Source organism: Homo sapiens, chromosome 10, assembly GCF_000001405.40.
Source record: "Homo sapiens chromosome 10, GRCh38.p14 Primary Assembly".
In the NCBI taxonomy this organism is placed as follows: domain Eukaryota; kingdom Metazoa; phylum Chordata; class Mammalia; order Primates; family Hominidae; genus Homo; species Homo sapiens.
Genome location: NC_000010.11, coordinates 5,907,002 through 5,925,358, shown reverse-complemented (window position 1 = coordinate 5,925,358; position 18,357 = coordinate 5,907,002). Strand labels below are relative to the sequence as shown.

The window sequence follows — 18,357 nt, the reverse complement described above, 5'->3', positions numbered from 1 at the left end:
AAAACACAGCACACGTTAGATGGTGCTTCAAAGGGAAAGAAACAAGATGACAAAAACATACATGTTTCCCACTTGACTCTGAACTCGAACATTTCTTGCCTCAGTGCAGTTTTGTAGGAAAAGGGGGAAAGAGGAAACAACTGTCGGGAACAGACAACTGTCGGGAACAGAAAAAAGAAAAAGACGAGGGGAAAAGTCGAAAATTAGTTGCAGGAGAGTTAACGCCTCTCGGAATCACATCCCAGAGGACAGAGTGGCTCCACCCACCGTCTGGATCTAACACATGAAGGGACAGAGCCCAGAAGAGGGCTGCACAGCTTGCCTGACATTACACGTGGCAGAGCTGGGACTAGAAAATCCCATTGTACGGGCTTGAAAGTAGAACAGAATAAAGAGCCCCTGAGGAAGAACCAGGACTCTGCTCCCCTTTCCCTTAAGCAATAAAGCCATCCTTGCTCAAAGATATTCCACACAGGGAAGAAACAGCAGAAGAGGCTGGGCGCAGTGGCTCACGCCTGTAATTCTAGCACTTTGGGAGGTCGAGGTGGGCAGATTACCTGAGGTTGGGAGTTCGAGACCAGCCTGGCCAACATGGTGAGACTCCATCTCTACAAAAAATACACAAACTAGCCGGGCTGGTGGTGGGGCCTGTAGTCCCAGCTACTCACGAGGCTGAGGCAGGATAATTGCTTGAACCCAGAAGGTGGGCATTGCAGTGAGCCAAGATCACGCCACTGCACTCCAGCCTGGGCAACAGAGCAATACTCTGTCTCAAAAAAAAAAAAAGAACAGCAGAAGACCATCTGTTCCTCCTCTTAGGGGGAAGGTAAAAACCAACTGCTTCCCTTACCTGCAAAGTCCAAATCTTCTATATGGCATTTTTCTATCCTTTGCACCAGCTCTGGAATCCTGATGTTATACTTTTCAACAACTGCGATCTTGGCTTCAAGCTCCTTGTCCTCGGCAGCGGTCACATACCTCTTGAAGCCACTAAAGCCTTCTTTGTGCACCCATCTTCTGATAAATTTGTCTTTAATGACGAGGTTTTCTAAGAAGAATATACACACAAATTAAGGTGACACAAGCTCCACTAACAGATGGTGGCAGGTGCTGCACGTTCCTAAGCAGCTGCGCAAGAGCAGATGGTCTTAAAGTGGGGAGACCCGGGTTCCAGGCCTGACTGCATCACTAACTCGCTGTGTGTCCCTGGGCAAGTCAGTGCAGTGCAGTAGCCTCTCCGTCTCCGACTGAGGAGCAAAGCCCTCGGCTCAAGATCCTCACCTACTTCACAGGGATTTGAAATAGTGCAGTCAACAGGAAAAGAAAAGCGCTATAGAAATGCTCGACGCTATCACTTGGGGCCCACGTGGAAGTATCAACGTATAAATTGGCCCAGGCAGACAGAAGGATGCAGGGGAAGACAGTCTATGGGACCAGTGTTGGAAAGAGACTGAGGCTCCTGTGAGGAGGATCTGGAAAAATCTGTCAGTACCTATGAAAACAGGAGGCCCGAGGCACCCCCCTCGTCATGGGAAGACAGCAACACTAGCTCGCCCTTCTCTGGAGGGAAACGGGTCCCTGACTCAGACTGGGCCTGCTTCTTTCTCGTCCCTGTCACTTGGGTGCGTCCTTCCAATGCACCAAGGCCAGGTGGGTACTCACGTTTCCTCCGTTCTTCCTCTGGCTGAAGAAGGATCCAAATATCAATGATTCTGTCCAATCCAAATGATTTAATCCCCTGAAAAAGTTTTTTGGTGGGATTTTTGTTTTTTTGTTGTTTTTTGTTTTGTTTTGTTTGTTGTTGCTTTAACAAAACAAAATAAAGCAAATGCAGGGATGGGGTTTTGAAATGAGATGGTTTCTTGGAAATGGATCTTGAGTGACACCCAAAGCACAGGCGGCAAGCAGGAAACTTCATGAAGCAGAAAGCGCAAGGCTGCCACGTGGCCTGAACACTCACAGGGACCACATTCTAAGTTACAGCTGCTACCTCAAACTCTTCCTACGCTTTTAAAAAGGGCAAGACCTACAGCTGCATACTGCTTTCCCATCAATAAAAAGGCAATTTAAGCATCTTCCAAGAACATAAGACGATTCCAAAGAACACAAATGGCACCTGAATACAAAGTGCTGGGTATGCACATTTACCACTGTTTCTTGTGAGAAAAGAACTACAGGCCAGGCGCAGTGGCTCATGCCTGTAATCCCAGCACTTTGGGAGGCTGAGGCAGGTGGATCACTTGAGGCCAGGAGTTCAAGACCAGCCTGGCCAACATGGTGAAACCCCGTCTCTACCAAAAATACAAAAATTAGCCGGGTGTGGTGGCAGGCGCCTATGGTCCCAGCTAGTCAGGAGGCCGAGGCACGAGAATCTCTCAAACTGGGAGGCAGAGGTTACAGCAAACCGAGATCACACCATTGCACTCCAGCCTGGGTGACAAAGCAAGACTCTGTCTCAAAAAAAAGAAATTACAGAACGTCTCTAGGTCCAGATTATTCTACATTTTAACAGGTCAGCTCCTGGAGGAGACAGCCTGACTGTGCCCTGTTTAGCTCAGATCTTCCAAAAGCATCTGCTGAGCACTGGCTGGGCTCCGGCACTCACACAGCACCAGGCCCCACATAGAAGACAGACACAACCAGGGCCCCACACTCCAAGAGCTTGTCATCTTTTAGGGAGGGACACATAAAACACTCACATAAAACAGCGGGCAAAATAACACAGTTGACATTATAACCCACAACCAGGTGTGTGATCACGTGTAATGACACATGGTACAGCTAGTAAGTGGATTTAAGAGAGGTGTAGAGAACCACTTACTTTATATCATGCCAGTGTGTATGATATTCCAAAAATACTACTCTTACAACAATGACCATGGCTAAATTATGTTATATCTACCAGACCAAATATTATAAGGTCATCAAAGTACTAATGAAAGAAAATATGCCTATGTGTTGAGTGAAAAACAGCATCCATTTCTGTGTACCCTACAATTGCAATTATGCAAAAATACACATCTATAAGGACAAAGACAAAAATAGCAAAAATGAGAATTATTATATGAAATACTGGGATTATGTGTTCTTTTTTTAGGTTCCAAAATTTCTATACCATTGTTATATAGTCTTTATAAACAAAAAACTTAAAACACCTTTTGATTATGATTCACTACTATATTCACTGAGTGCCTAATGCATAGTAGGCTCTTGAAAATCTTTCCATAAATGAATGAGTGAATATCTTTTTATCATATAACTGTGCTTCAGGGTTAAAAATGCTGTAAACATGCCACTGAATCCTTCTAACTCCCTGTGAAACAGGTAAGGCAAGGCATTATTTTATCTGAGATGGAGAGAATGAGGCATACAGAAGTTGTGACTTGCCCCAAGCCACACACGGTTAGTGACCAGTCAGAACTAGAGCCTAGGTGTGTACTCTGCGTGTTGTCAGCTCAGCTGTTCTCACACTAATGACAACACATGACTAGAAAAGCTTCCAGTAACCCGCGGCCTCACTGGCATTGCCAAGGGAAGAAGGGCATTCATTGTTAAAAGAGTGGAAACTAAGGTCCCCAGCCCTTCTTGTGTCTGCCTTTCCAGGAATGTTTCGCTGGCATAATCAGAATGGCCTGGGATAGAGACCACTCATGGTGCAGCCTGGTGGAAAGAGTCAAAAACCCAAATGCTTTCTTGCATGATAATCCCAAGGAAGGTGAACATTTCCATTGGGTATGTTCGTCTACAACGTTTCTGTGCATGAAGTGGTCAACAGAAATGTACTCTTACCCCAATCAAATGTATCCTTGAAGGGAATTCCCCTTCCGTCACCCGTACGGCCTCATCAAACACGTTGGCGTTGGTCCGGGACAACAAGGCCACTTGCCCCTTTGCGTCACCTCTAATGCCACCTTTAGGGAGAGAGCACAAACTCTATGGCAAATTGAAATAAAGAGGAAAACTTTTGTAACACAAAAGAGAAGAGTAACTAAAAGCCTTACTCTGATGGTTTCCTCCAACCAAAGTCTTTTTCCTGACTCTCTTGCAAACATCCAAGATAGTAGCTCCCACATAAGCTATTTCCACACCAAACCGAAAACTCTGAAAACAACAAGACAGAGGGAGTCAGCAGCCCGCCCTGTGGTGTGTCCGTGCATTTCCATCACTGCTGCCACAGCCTGGCCGGGCCAGACCCTACAAGTTGTTCCTGACCCCCCGCATGGAAAGCGAACTTCACAGGCTCACTTTCAAGGTCCTTCACAACTCAGCAGTCTTTATTTTCCATTATTCTCAACACCAATAGTAAATTTTTCTTTTAAGCAAATCTACCCTTTTCTCCAAATCAAATCTAGTGAAGTCTAAATCATACAAAAGATGAAGATCGGGTAAGGAGGGCTTCTCCCCTTGCCTTTGAGATCCCTCTCCACACTACCTTTAAAACTACTGCCCTGCACCAACCAGCCATGGCAGAAGCACTAGCACCTGCACATTGTCCGTGCTGCCCTGCCTCAGCCCACGCGGTTTTCTGTCTGACTTTCATCCACCAAAGTCACTTCCTAACCTTCAAAACTCAGCCCAAGACCCTGCTTCCTTCGCCCCTCCAGCTGGCAAGATATCATTCTTCCCTACACTCGGGGTGTGTACAGCCTTTTTCCATGCACACACAACTTCATGTGCTTTGGTGAATAGCAGTAACAGTCAAACGAAAACTAGACTTTAAACAAACACTACTTTGTTGCTATAAAACTACTCTGAGTGAACCATAACCGAAATTATAACATAAATATCCATGAGTTCATATTAAGATAGATAAATGATTGAATATTTAAATAGATGGGAGAGAAAAAACAAATCTCCTTTACAGAAGAATTCCAAATAATTTGGGAAGATTCTCCAACACTTACTCCTTGAGTGTGGACTGCATATAGGGACTTCCTTCCAAAGCATCCAGTAAGGAAAGGATGAAAAAAAGTGGAACTCTACAGTGAAGAAACCTGACAAACACTACATCAGCCAGGTGGTCAAGGTCAACATCAAGTCATGAGCCATGGTGACAGTATGCACCTCAACACCATGTGATGAAAATGGCGCTTCACCTCTGTGGTCTTCCTCCCAGAACCCAGGACTCTAGCCTAACCATGAGAAAAGACATTAGACAAATCCCAGCACAGGGGCAGCCTACAAATGCCTGACTGGAACTTCTGGAAAATGTGAAGGTCACATCAGAAATAGGGAAAGTCTGAGCAACTGTCACAGCCAAGAAGAGCCTCATGACACATGGTTACATGTAATGTGGGATCCTGGATGGGCTCCTGAAGTCACAAAAGACATTATTTCAAAACTAAGGAAATGCAAATGAACCATGGACTTCAGTCCATAATAATGTATCAATGTTGGTTCATTATCGTGACAAGTGTTCCACATTAATATAAGACGATAAGATGTTAGTAATGGGAAACTGAGTACAGGATATATGGGAACTCTCCTCTCGATTTTTCTGTAAATCTGAAACTGTTCTAAAAAAATACCATCTATTAAAAGAACAAATCACCTCTGCAGTGACGCTACCCTAAATCACCACAGCAGTAGGAGCTCAAGGGAAGAGTCACAGAGGCGTCTACGGAACTTTCAATAACATCACAAAACACAGCACAGTTGATACTTTCATCCAAGTGAGACATCTCTTCTAATCAGAAATAAGTTTCTTAAAAGCAGTGGTTCTCGAACTGCTGGTCTCAGGATGCTTCACACTTAAAAATCACACTTAAAAAGCCTCCAAAGAGCTTTTATTTACATGAGCTCTATCTATCTATATTTACCATATTATAAATTTTAATTCATTTAAAAATAACTATTAAAAACTATTTTTTTTTAAGACAGAGTCTCATTCTGTCACCCAGGCTGGAGTACAATGGTGCGACCTCGGCTCACTGCAACCTCTGCCTCCTGGGTTCAAGTGATTCTCCTGCCTCAGCCTCCTGAGTAGCTGACACTACAGGCGGGAGCCACCACACCTGGCTAATTTTTGTATTTTTAATAGAGACAGGGTTTTACCATGTTGGCCAGGCTGGTCTTGAACTCCTGACCTCAAGTGATCTGTCCTTCTTGGCCTCCCAAAATGCTGGGATTACAGGCATGAGCCACCATGCCCAGCCAAAAGCCTCTTATATGATGACATAAAGAACATATTTTTTGAAACATATTTCCGAGAACAAAAAAAAATGCAGCAAGAAGAGTGGCACCATGTTCCATTTTTGCAAATCTCTTCAATGCCTGGCATAACAGAAGACTGCTGGCTTCCTGTGTTCACATCTGCATTGCCTGCTGAGATATACTGTCTTGGCTGACACACATGAAGAAAATTCAACCTCACACAGACATGTGATTGGAAAGGAAGGAGCGCATAATAAACTTTTCGCATAATCAAGGACACTGTGAGTTGTCACATTCATTATGGGAGAGTTTGCCAACATTTTAATTTCACTTGAAAGCAAAGATGTTACTTTTGACAACAAACACTGTCAGTTATTTTCCCTGAAGTCGCAGCTTGTTTCACTTGTCTTTGAAAAAGTGCCAAATACACAAGTCTGAACAACCAGCGCTGGTCTAACAACTGTTCTAAGCACAAATGTACAAGGCGGCAGCAGCCATCGGTTCACAGTTCAGCCGCAGCAGCTCTTCCTCAGACGACCGCTGTGCACACACCTCTTATGAAAACAGTGTGACTTGGCAGACCCCTGAGAACCACACTTTGAGAACCATGGCTTAGAAGCAAGGATTTGCTAGATCTGGTGAGCCTGGCATACCACCTTTCACAGGGCCTGGCACGTAAGACATTGGGAGAGAGATGCAATGCCTCCCATGCAGAGTGCGCACTTACCTGCGTGAGATAGAAGACGTGGGTGTGGGGCACTGTGAACAGGGCGTTGACCGCACCCCGGAAGGTATAGATCTGCTGGTGCGGGTCCCCTACAAAGATTTTCCCACATGGCTGAGACAGAACTATGTTCATGATAGCTGTAACCAACGAGAGGAAAAGTGAGAAACCTTGAGGCCTCCACCCCAGGCAGCAAAAAGAAAAGGACAAAAACACTTCCACGAAGCTAAGCCAGGGCACACTGGACCTCACGGTCGCCTTTTCCTGTAGGACAGGCACACTCCATCAAAAGCAGCCATTTTATAATGGACAAAAGAAACAGTTTCTGGTGCTAGGAATGCAGATTATGTTTCGCCTTGGATGAATTGTTGGAATATAAGAAAACAACACAGGCAAATCTAAAATGAGGCAGTGTCTTCTCTAATATTATAGCACTCAAAATTGACCTACAAAGTCAGACGGATAACACTGTCTGTTCTCTCCTAGCCACTTGAGAAGTAGACAACACAAGCTTTTCCCTGTCAATGGACGATCTCTTCCCACAGAGCATGAGTCTAGGTCCCTGTCGTCTGCTGGTCTACAACTTGGTCAACATGTTAAGAACAACCTAAGCAAAACCTATGGTGACAGAGAAATCTGCTTGGGTGAGGGGAAGGGGCAGCTTGAAATCCTAAGGTAAGTATGAAGATCCTCTTCTTTATCACAAATAATAATAATCAACTTAGTTCACACAGGTGTCCTCTTACATAATCATGGCGCTGTTTCTACGTATTTGACACTACTGATGTCCTGAACAGTGTATCACCTGGTGTGCAGTCCTGGGCCTCATCCACAAAGATGGCGTCAAAAGAGGCCAGCGAAGGCTTGCTCAGCTGCCAGAGTTTCAAGTAGCCTAAAATAAGGAGAGACGCAGGAGTTGTAACGCCAGGAAGGCAGTCCCATTGGCCAGTCCCCGCCATTCGGCAGCCGCCTACCGTCATGAGTCATCTGGTGCGCCTCTTCTGTGCACTCCCCCAGCTTCCGCATGTTATCCCAGAGGCGGCTCGCTTCAAGGACACCATTCTAGGAAGTAAAGCATATGGTAACCCAGAGTTTGAGACCCTGGCAAAGGCAGCACCCTGCGGTCACACTGTCAACTCCCATACAGCAGTGGAGCCAGGGCATCCTCACAGAAGGGGGACCGCAGACACCACCCTAACCTCCTGGGTCTCCTCAACAGCCTCTCCACGCCAGAGGGTCTCCAGTGCTGAGACAGGAAGCAGCCGGGCCGTGCCATGCCCGTGACAGGACAGAGATCATAACAGTTAGGTGAACCAGAAAAGGCCAAATTGTTCTTCTAGATTTATGACTGATGCTTAATTCACAAAAACAATGGCACATGATTGAAAAGACTTGATGAAAAAAAGAAACAGACTTTCCCACTAGCAAAATCTATTCCATAGAACCAATAACCCAAGAAAATCAGGAGAGATTCCAGCCTTCAGTTAAGATCAGTTTTGAGGTCCAGGAGCCCCAGTGACAAGCTCTTATAAACTGAGGCGGGTCGTTCCATGTCTGCCTTCTCTGTTAAATGGGAGGACTATTCCGAGGCTTAAGTGAGATGGTCACCAGTGTCCTTCACAGGAGAAAATACCCAACAATTCACAGCCATCACCATGGGCCTACAGCCTCACCCTCCCACCTTCAACCTCCTATGACCAGGTCTGAAGAAATGAAAGAAGAAATAATGCTGTCCCACACTCCCTGTTTGCCCATCCTCAGATCCCTAACACTTCCCGTTCCCCCATCCTCAGATCCCTAACACTTCCCCTGATCCCCCATCCTCAGACCCCTAACACTTCCCATTTCCCCATCCTCAGATCCCTAACACTTCCCGTTTCCCCATCCTCAGACCCCTAACACTTCCCCTGTTTCCCCATCCTCAGACCCCTAACACTTCCCCTGTTTCCCCATCCTCAGATCCCTAACACTTCCCCTGTTCCCCCATCCTCAGATCCCTAACACTTCAGACACTTAGACACTCACCAGTTTTTCACTCTGCTCAACCATGACTCTCTGTCCTTGGCTGTTCTTACACCAAATAGGCACGTGATCAATGGTCAGCTCTTCGTCAGCCGAGGCAAAGAAGTTTTCTAGAGTCTTACACACAAGCTTGGCTCTTATGAATCCACCCTTCCCTTCAGCAAGGACGGAGTTGACCATGAAGGGTGTTAACTTGAAGAGATTCAACTTCTTCTTTGACTGGTACCTGCAATACCCATCCCAAATGAACAGCACGTGGCTCTCCTGGCTTGGTGCTATTGAACGTCCCCTCCATTCTCTCTAATGTCACCAGGAGGTAGCTTCAAGTGCCACACACAGGCGAGTGTTAATGTTTTAAAGCGAAAAAGTTCTGCATGGTCCATGTCTGACTGGAAATGGCTTTCAGGACTCACATGTACCAACCCAGAATAGGAACCAGCTTTCGGCAGACACTGCTATTCCACCATGAAGCTGGGCTCCAGAAGGTCCCCGGAGGGACCCTTGGAGTTCCCTGATGCCTCTACATCCAGGAGACCTGGGTCAAGTGTGCCTCGGCTGAGTCTTCCTCACTCCCTTCCAAGAAAAGCCTACAACTGATCAGGATTTGTGAGACTCTGAACTTTAAGCAAGTCATTTTGACTTTCTGTGCCTCACTTCCATGAGAACACCCCTCTTGGCAAGACGGCATTATATGTAAACAATATGTTGCTACAGGATAAAAGTACAAATGGCTAAACCTATGTATTTGTTTCCTGCCTGTAAGTGGAGATAACAGCACTACACTCCTCGGGGTCACTGTGGTGTAAGCTCACATGTGATCGTCACGGGAAAACAGTAAGACGCGACCGTGCCAGCAGCAACAGTGCCACTAGTGACAGCAGTACTCACTTCCGCCCTATGTGCCCGTAGGCCATGGAGTGGAAGGTTTTGCAGATGACGTTGCTGGGGAAGACGCGTTCGGCCTGCTTTGCGATGCTCTTGTTGAATGTCACATACAGAAACCTGCTCTGAGACCACTTCTCTGCATACTTGACCAGCGTTGAGGTCTTCCCAGTGCCTGGGGAAGCCAGGAGGAAAGGAGGTGACCCTCTGACCAGACAAGACATGCCCAGGGATCCCCAATCAGGCCTTGTCCAGGCTTATCACACCTCTGTCTTGAGAGCAGGACAGTAACAAGTTTTTCAGTGCTGGTAAAAGTAGTGCCACCAAAAGAGCAGCAGATTCAAAGCCAGGTGAAGGTGGGCTGGGATCTCAGCTGGGGCAGGCTCCAGCCGAGGGGCAAAGGACAGGTGGACCCCTTGACCTCATGAGCTTCAGTTTGCTTCTCAGAAATAAGTGGGTATCCATTAGAGGTAGGGTTCCCGAGGGCAAAAAGGACCCCTCAGGATAGGAGGGTAGGGTTAGGGAGGGGGAAGGCATGTCTCTGGAGAGAGACAGGTCCAGCTTTGAATTCCACCTCCACCACCTATCCACTTATTCAACCCCGGGCAAGGCTCTCTGTGCTTCAGTTTCTTCCTCTATAAAACAAGAATAACTAAGCAACCTTACGGAATGCTATCAGGATCAGCACAATGCCAAGCACACTGCAGGCATTCAAAATGTTGTTGTTGTTGTTAGCAGGGTATTTAGCCACAAAAGGAGCAGGAAGGGATTACAGGCAGAAAAAAAATAGCAAATAGCACGAGCAAAGGCTGTGATGAAAGAGTAACCAAGTACTTCAGGAGGCTGTGAGTGGATCGGCGTGGCTGACTGAGGCAGGACACTTGTAGATAATATATTTATGAATGTAAGTTAAAAGCCAATCTAAGGCAGGCCCTCTAGACATCACCCTATAAAACTGGGGAGCTCCTGAAACCCTGGGCTGGGGATTAACATGCCCTCCCTCTCCAGAAGCAATCAGTGCCTGAGCAAACATCACAATGCTGGGCTCAATCCCGGGGGCATCTGCCCGACCAACTAACTGCTGTGAACTACCTGTCTCAACAGGAATTCTGTGGATGTTCATGGAGTGGTCCGGGGAAGTAAGTATTCCTTGGCCAATTGCTTTTGAGATTGATTATTTGATCTGTTATTGAATTATTAGTTGGATGACAGATCAGAGCAAAGATGCCCTGGCAGGTAGCGGGAAGGGGATGTAGGGAGAAAAGGCAGAAAACCACCACCTCGTGAACCTGATGTGGGCTCCCTTACCGGCAAAGGCCATAATTTTCACCACCTGGAGAGGTTCCATCTTGTGATTCAGAATCAGCTGTTGTTCATGTGTAAGTTGGATGGTTTTCTTGCTATAATCATTACAAAAGAGAAGTAAGAAAAACAGAAAGACGTGAAAAGTCCAGGGGATAGACAGTCCAAAAACCAAACATACAAACTGGATAAACAAAAGCTGACCAAAAAAAAGGCCTCCCCTTACGAGAATAAACATGTTCTAAAGCTAGATTATGATGCTGATGCACAGCTCAGGCAATGTCACTGAATCACACTCTTAGGATGGGTGAGTTTTACACAATTTACATTATTAACCTCAATGATGTTGCTAAAGTGAAGCAAAACATCTCCCTCCTTAAGTATGAGGAAGAGTCGACAGAAGACAAAACACACGCTGACGCACATATACACATACCCTGGCCAGACAGATGGCTCCTCTTTAACTTTTGTGGCCTGAGTGCAGGAATTCTCCTGAAGATATAGGCAATAGAAAATGTTGTAGTGAATCCTACCAGAAAAAAAAGTAGATTTAGAAAGTCTCAAATTCAAGTCACAATCTGCATCTTATTTTTCCTCAGATGGATTTAAACTCCTTCCCATTTCTAAAAAGAAAATACCTACCACCATTTAATGGAAAAAAGAAAGAAAAGGATTTAAATATATCTATGGCTGGCAAAGCATTCTCAGATAACACAGTCCTGGGAAAGGTGTAGTTTCTATGTATATCTCCAAGAGGAGGAAGAGACCAGGACGGGCTCTTCAGGGAATGAGGGGCGCCAGCTGTGACTTGAAGAGACAAACAACCTGAAAAACTGTAAGGACCAGTGGAAGGCAAAGGGAAACACTGCTCCTAGCACTGAGACTCTTGTTTGAATGATACTTACTACACCTGTGGATAAAACACCAGCCTCTTTCTGAGCCTCGGTCGCTCCACTGTCTACCTCTTATGACATGACATTGCTTTAGACGCATGAACACATTCTATCTTTTAAGGTCCCAAGAAAAGGGACTACACTATGGATAACAAGATCTGACTACTAAGGACCTGAAAACAGTAGGCTCCAAGTCACCAAGAGGGACCAAAGATGACAAAGTTCAATCAGCAGAGGCACAGGACATCGTCAGACTCGTCAGACTCAGCTGGCACACGCCGTTCCAAAGCCTCTCCAAGTCTCCCCTGGACTGTGGGGGAGACCGGGGGTGAGCTTGGACTCGCTCCCCCAACAATCGAGTGCACTGCCCCCCATCCCCAGAGCGAAAAGAGCCCATCTCCAAGCCTCGACCTCTCCAATGCAACAAATACCTTTAATAATCCAACATTTCAGATGTGATTATATTATCTCCCAGAAAAAACAGGAAGAAACAAAGAAACGCAACAAAAATCAACATACATACTGCCATGGACTGAAGTGTGTCCCTTGAAATTCCTGTGTTGAAGCGCTACCCCAATGTGGTGTGTGGAATAAGGAAGTAGTTAATGTTAGGTGAGAGTACAAGGGCAGGGCCCTGATACACAAGAATTGGGGTCCTCCTAAGAGGAGACGCCAGTGTTCTCTCCACCCTGTGGGGATGCGGCAAGAAGGCAGCCATCAGCAAACTCTTGGACATTTCTGGGGAATCCTGTCCCCTCCTGGTACCTTGCCACCGATGCCTGGCCACCACTCACTCCCCTGGTGCCACTAGCCACCTTCCTTTAAGGGCTTGCAACTTCCAGGGGCCAGTCTCCCTGGGGAAGGGACCCCCCTCCCCCGGCCCCCAGCCCCCACGGTCTCTGCTTCTCCAGGATGGCTGCACAGTTGATCTACCTGTCCCCATCACTCCAGCTCAGGGACAAGGCCCTTCCCAGCTGCCCAGCAAACCCTGAGTTTTATTCTACATTTTTTTTTTTTTTTTAGACAGAGCCTCACTCTGTTGCCCAGGCTGGAGTACAGTGGCATATCTCGGCTCACTGCAGCCTCTGCCTCCTGGGTTCAAGTAATTTTCATGCCTCAGCTTCCCGAGTAGCTGGGATTAGAGACACGCACCACCAGAAATTTCTGGCTAATTTTTGTATTTTTAATAGAGATGGGGTTTCCCCTTGTTGGCCAGGCTGGTCTCCAGCTCCTGGCCTCAAGCGAACTGCCCGCCTCGCCTCCCAAAGTGCTGGATTACAGGTGTGAGCCACCAAGCCTGGCCTTATTCTACCTTCTAATCGGGGCCTGTAAGATCCCTCAACTGTCCCTGTCCATCCTTCACAATCTTGTGTTCCCTCCCACCCTTGCCACACTGCACTTTTTCTCTTCCTCACATGTCCCAAATTCATTCCCATCTTCAGGCCCTTAAGGCATCTATACCTTCTCTGAACTGCTCTCCCCACAGTTGTGAAACGGCGGTTCCTCCTCCACACTCAGGTTTCACTCAGACACTACCTGCTCAGAGAAGCTTTTTCCACCCCTCTAAAGCAGCATTCACCCCACAGCTCTCTGTTCTATTTTCTCTGCAATGCTCATTACTCACTAAAATGCCATTTCACACATTTACTTACATAGGACCTGTCTTCCCTCACTAGATCAGGAATCTCCTCTAACTCCTCTAAGCCGGTCACAGTGGACCGGCTCGTGGACAACTGTCGGACACACACAGGTGTTCAGTGTTTGTCAAATGCACAACCCCCCAGGCACTCCCCACCCTGCTGAGGAAACCATCGGGGCCCCTGTGAATCAGCAGCCGACACGCCATAGCCTCTCCCGCATGGAGGATAAGGTGGATGAGTCTTTTCCATCCCACAAGTGGGATATGGAGGAAGTAGAGCCTAACATTTTCCTAGGGAAGCGAGGCCACGGGTGAATAAGAAAGGCTTCTCTTGGCGAGGGGCTTCCCCTAAGGCTGCAGGACCCATGATGGTAAAATCAGCCTTAGTGGTATCTCGCAGCCGCTCAGAACTGCACGTTCATAAGGCGCTCTTACCAGCCTTTCCACATCAAACTCTCAGCCCCTGGCTCCTGCAGAAGATGACACTGAGGTGGAGCAGGTGGGTCCCACAGCCTGCCAGGTGCTAACACTGCTAAGTGGCAGGGCTGGACCTGCTGCTGTGTCTGGGACTCTCCCATTATCACAGCATCCCCTCCCCTCCTCCCGGGGCATTACCTATTGCTGATGTTAATCCCCTTCTCCCTCATGGCGTAGAGAAGCACGGCTATGCAGTACAGGGTCTCGGTGACATCTGGCATGGTCACCGTGGAGCTGGGTCTCCGGAGGCAGAAGAGCAGTCGCTGGATGTCATTCACACTGCTGGAGAGGAGCACCACAGCCGCCACCAGGGCCCAGATGTTGACACCCTGCAAGCCAGGTGCACAGGGAGGGAGGGACAGCCCACAGGCCATGGTTAATACGAATCACAGCAGGAAGGAGTCAGGAAAGCCGAGCCACGGGTCCAGCTGCTGGCTACAGACTGTCTGGACTGAATCCAAACTTTCCAAGTTGTATTTGGGAAACAGGGGAGCCCTTCTGTTCGCCCTGGACTCCTTCTCATCACTTTTGGATTTGAGATCTTAGTTTTCTTTAATTAAATAACACGGATGAAGTATCTAACATAGAACCTTGGACAGAGAGACAGTCTAAAAATATGAGCTCCCTGTCATCTCCCCACCCTACTCTCCAGGCCATGGGGGCTCTCAGGTCCATATGTGCTTGGCAGGGCCAGAGCAAAACAGCCAGCAAGGGGCGCCCACCCAAGAGGCATGAGAGACGCAGACACAGGAGAGGGCCGCACGCAGGCTGTGGGGAAAATAAAATCTGGCAGTTCTCCAGCATGACGGTGTTAACTTGCTATTTATTATTAGTAATAACTGTTCATTGTAAGTTAAATAAATATGAAATTATGGAAAGTTTATTTTGTGAAGACAGCATGCTCCTCTTAGCAATGTCTCTGTAAATGTTCGCTTACACAGAAACAGTCAATAGTGGACACAGATCTTCATCTTTTTTTTTTTTTGAGACAAAGTCTGACTCTGTCACACAGGCTGGAGTGCAGTGGCGCGATCTCAGCTCACCGCAACCTCTGCTTGCCAGGTTCAAGCAATTTGCTTGTCTCAGCCTCCAGAGTAGCCAGTACTACAGGCACATGCCACCATGCTCGGCTAATTTTTGTATTTTTGGTAGAGACAGGGTTTCACCATGTTGGCCAGGCTGGTCTCGAACTCCTGACCTCAGGTGATCCACCCGCCTTGGCCTCACAAAGTGCTGGGATAACAGGCGTGAGCCACCACGCCCAGCCTTTACCATTCTTAAGTTACTACACGTCTCTGTGTTAAAGAATGCATTCCAAGAAAGGAACATCCCATCCCCTCTCACTTCAACCATCCTGTGAAAGAAGACCCACTCCACCACCATCAGCAATCATCTTCTTCAAGAGAAACAGAAATGCAGTTGCCTGGGTTCCCAGCCCTCTGTGGCCAGTAAAACACACGCAGAGGTTGCACGTAGCTTCGAAGATAAAATCTGGGAATCCCTGAACTGGAAAAGGAGCAACAGGGCTGAGATTCAAGGAGACTGAGGGTTATTTCCAGCTTCTCATTACCTCATTGTGTGACTATAGCAAGACCCCTAATTTTTCTGTCCCTTTCAAATAAGCAAACTTGTTGATAATGGGGTGGGCTGTCTTGTAAAGAAATCCTATTATTAAAAGTGTTCAGAGGCTAGATGACCACTTTTCAGAAATATTTCAGAGAAGATTCCTCAACCAAATGGGAAATCAGACTAAATGATTTGTTAAAATTTCATCTACATCTAAGACTCTACAATTATATGGCCTTTTATTTCTCCACTGGGGACAATGACAACATGAATGCTTCAAAGCATTCAGAGATTAAATACAGACATTAAAAATAAATATAAAGTCATCCTCAATTGAACTGAATCACCAGTACACTTTCCTCCAGTGAAATAACATGCCGCCTTCTCCCGCAGCCTCCAGACCTACCCCGGCAGCAGCGTAGAGGTCGGGGAGGTGTTGCCGCACACACGCCTCAGCCTCGGGGAGGAGGGGGTGGTCCCTCAGACTCCACAGCACCCTCTCGGGATCCACACTCGGAGAGCACTTAGTGGTGGCTGTGTATCTGTAAGACATTCACAGGAGAGGCCATGAGTAGGGTGACCATAAGCACTGATGTACAAGGAAGACTTCAAAGACGCCTTCTTTACAGCACAGGCAAAGCTCACCGTATGAGGTTCAGCACACACAGGTCTGACTCCTTTTCTATGCCACAGTTAGACAGGATGCCGTCCACTTTGCTGACAGCTTGCTCTTCATTCATCAGGTATCGATGGTACAGCTTCTTCCAAGGAATGAACTATGCAGTTAAAAAACAAACAAAATAACATGAGGCAAAGGGCCATTAGAAAGCAGATTAATGAGGCGGGCAGATCGCCTGAGGTCAGGAGTTTGAGACTAGCATGGCCAACATGGTGAAGCCCCGTCTCTACTGAAAAAAAATACAAAAATTAGCCAGGCATGATGGCACATGCCTGTAGTCCCAGCTACTCAGGAAGCTGAGGCAGGAGAATCACTTGAACCTGGGAGGCGGAGGTTGCAGTGAGCCGAGATCAAGCCACTGCAGTGCACGCTAGCCTGGGTGACAGAGTGAGACTCCATCTCAAAAAAAAAAAAAGAAAGAAAAAAAGCAGATTAAGCCACAAACACATAGATAACCTTTTACCAGTGAAAAGCAATCACAGCTCACAATTCAAAAGCCAGGAAAATCAGGCAGAAATGTTACACAAATTTTTGTTGGAAACTAGGAGAACTGGGTCTTGGTCTTGGTTCTAACACTAACTTGTTATAGTTAAAGAATCTGGGAAAAACTATAGCTTCAGTTTCCCTGTCTGAAACATTAGTACACGTAACTCAGGGTTTCAATGGGAACAAAATAATATGAGAGCTGTGGCTATACTAATATCAGACAAAACAGACTTTAAGTCAATTCTGTCTGTTAAATACTGTTATAAGAGACGAAGGACATAATGATAAAAGGGTCAATTCACCAAGAAGATATAATAACTATAAATATATATGCACCACACATTAGAGCTCCTAAATATAGGAAACAACCCCTGACAGAACTGAAGGTAGAAACCAACAGCAACACAATAATAGAAGGAGATTTCAACACTGCTATTTCAATGATGGATGGAACAACCAGACAGAAGATAAATAAGGAAAACAGAGGATCTGAACAACACTATGGACTAAGCGGGCTGAACGAACATATACAGAATACTCCACCCAACAACAGCAAAATATACATTCCTCTCAAGGGCACATGAAACATTCTCCAGGATAGATCACCTGTTAGGCCACAAAACAAGTTTCAACAAACTTAAAAACCACTTAAGTTATTATATGAAGTATCTTTTTAAATCACAATGGAATGTAACCAGAAATCAATAGCAGAAGGAAAACTGAAAAATCCACAAATATATGGATATTAAACAACATACCCTTGCCCAGGCACAGTGGTTTATGCCTGTAATCCCTGCACTTTGGGCAGCTGAGACAGGCGGATCACTTAAGGCCAGGACTTTGAGACCATCCTGGATTACATGGTGAAACCCTATCTCTCCTAAAAATACAAAAATTAGCCAGGCATGGTGGCACATGTCTGTAATCCCAGCTACTTGGGAGGCTAAGGCACAAGAATCACTTGAACTTGGGAGGTGGAGGTTGCAGTGAGCCAAAGTCGAGCCACTGCACTCCAGCCTGGGTGACAGAGCAAGACTCTGTCTCAAAAAAAAAAAAAAAAAAACCAACAACAACAAAAAACACATTCTTAAAACAACCAATGGGTCAAAGAAGAAATCACAAAGAAAAGTAGAAAATATCTTGAGACAAATGAAAATGAAAACATAACATACCAAAACTTATGAAATGCAATGAATGCTGTTGGGCTGTTTTAAGAGAGGGGTTTATTGCTATAAATGCTTACACTCAAACAAACAAACAAACAAAAAATGGGCCAGACATGGTGGCTCACGCCTGTAACCCCAGCACTTGGGAGGCTGATGGCAGGCAGATCACTTGAAGTTAGGAGTTTCAGAGACCATCCTGGCCAACATGGTAAAACCCCATGTCTACTGAAAATACAAAAATTAGCCGGGTGTGGTGGCGCACGCCTGTAATCCCAGCTACTGGGGAGGCTGAGGCAGGAGAATCACTTGAACCTGGGAGGCAGAGGTTGCAGTGAGTCAGGATCGTGCCACTGCACTCCAGCCTGGGC

At 46.5% G+C, this 18,357-nt stretch overlaps 1 protein-coding gene across 26 annotated transcripts in view, besides 2 other annotated features; it reads right to left on the bottom strand.

Annotated features, from left to right (window-relative positions):
- Positions 1-18,357, bottom strand: part of FBH1 (F-box DNA helicase 1) — a 48,022-nt gene that overhangs the window by 12,235 nt on the left and 17,430 nt on the right. For 14 of the 26 annotated variants that reach the window (NM_001258452.2, XM_047425892.1, XM_047425900.1 and 11 more), the window contains 15 exons: positions 16,304-16,434; positions 16,065-16,200; positions 14,231-14,421; positions 11,520-11,612; positions 11,090-11,181; positions 9,788-9,956; positions 8,903-9,125; positions 7,852-7,939; positions 7,683-7,769; positions 6,881-7,017; positions 4,002-4,101; positions 3,790-3,911; positions 1,663-1,738; positions 851-1,048; positions 558-608 (listed from right to left, as the gene is read on the bottom strand). In NM_001258452.2, coding sequence (NP_001245381.1) covers positions 558-608; positions 851-1,048; positions 1,663-1,738; positions 3,790-3,911; positions 4,002-4,101; positions 6,881-7,017; positions 7,683-7,769; positions 7,852-7,939; positions 8,903-9,125; positions 9,788-9,956; positions 11,090-11,181; positions 11,520-11,612; positions 14,231-14,421; positions 16,065-16,200; positions 16,304-16,434 — 1,894 coding nt within the window. Of the gene's footprint in view, positions 1-557; positions 609-850; positions 1,049-1,662; positions 1,739-3,789; positions 3,912-4,001; positions 4,102-6,880; positions 7,018-7,682; positions 7,770-7,851; positions 7,940-8,902; positions 9,126-9,787; positions 9,957-11,089; positions 11,182-11,519; positions 11,613-14,230; positions 14,422-16,064; positions 16,201-16,303; positions 16,435-18,357 lie in introns of those variants that run through there. The other 12 variants (NM_001258453.2, XM_047425896.1, XM_047425901.1 and 9 more) reach the window with 3 other exon arrangements.
- Positions 6,287-6,487: a silencer, noted in NCBI's record as "peak859 fragment used in MPRA reporter construct". NCBI's record gives its function as "represses an SCP1 promoter by STARR-seq MPRAs in K562 erythroleukemia cells {active_cell/tissue: K562}" and the evidence as "EXISTENCE:reporter gene assay evidence [ECO:0000049][PMID:32103011]".
- Positions 7,269-8,468: an enhancer, noted in NCBI's record as "BRD4-independent group 4 enhancer chr10:5958854-5960053 (GRCh37/hg19 assembly coordinates)". NCBI's record gives its function as "activates an origin of replication core promoter dependent on BRD2, P300/CBP, MED14 and CDK7 cofactors, and independent of BRD4, by STARR-seq in HCT116 cells {active_cell/tissue: HCT116}" and the evidence as "EXISTENCE:reporter gene assay evidence [ECO:0000049][PMID:35650434]".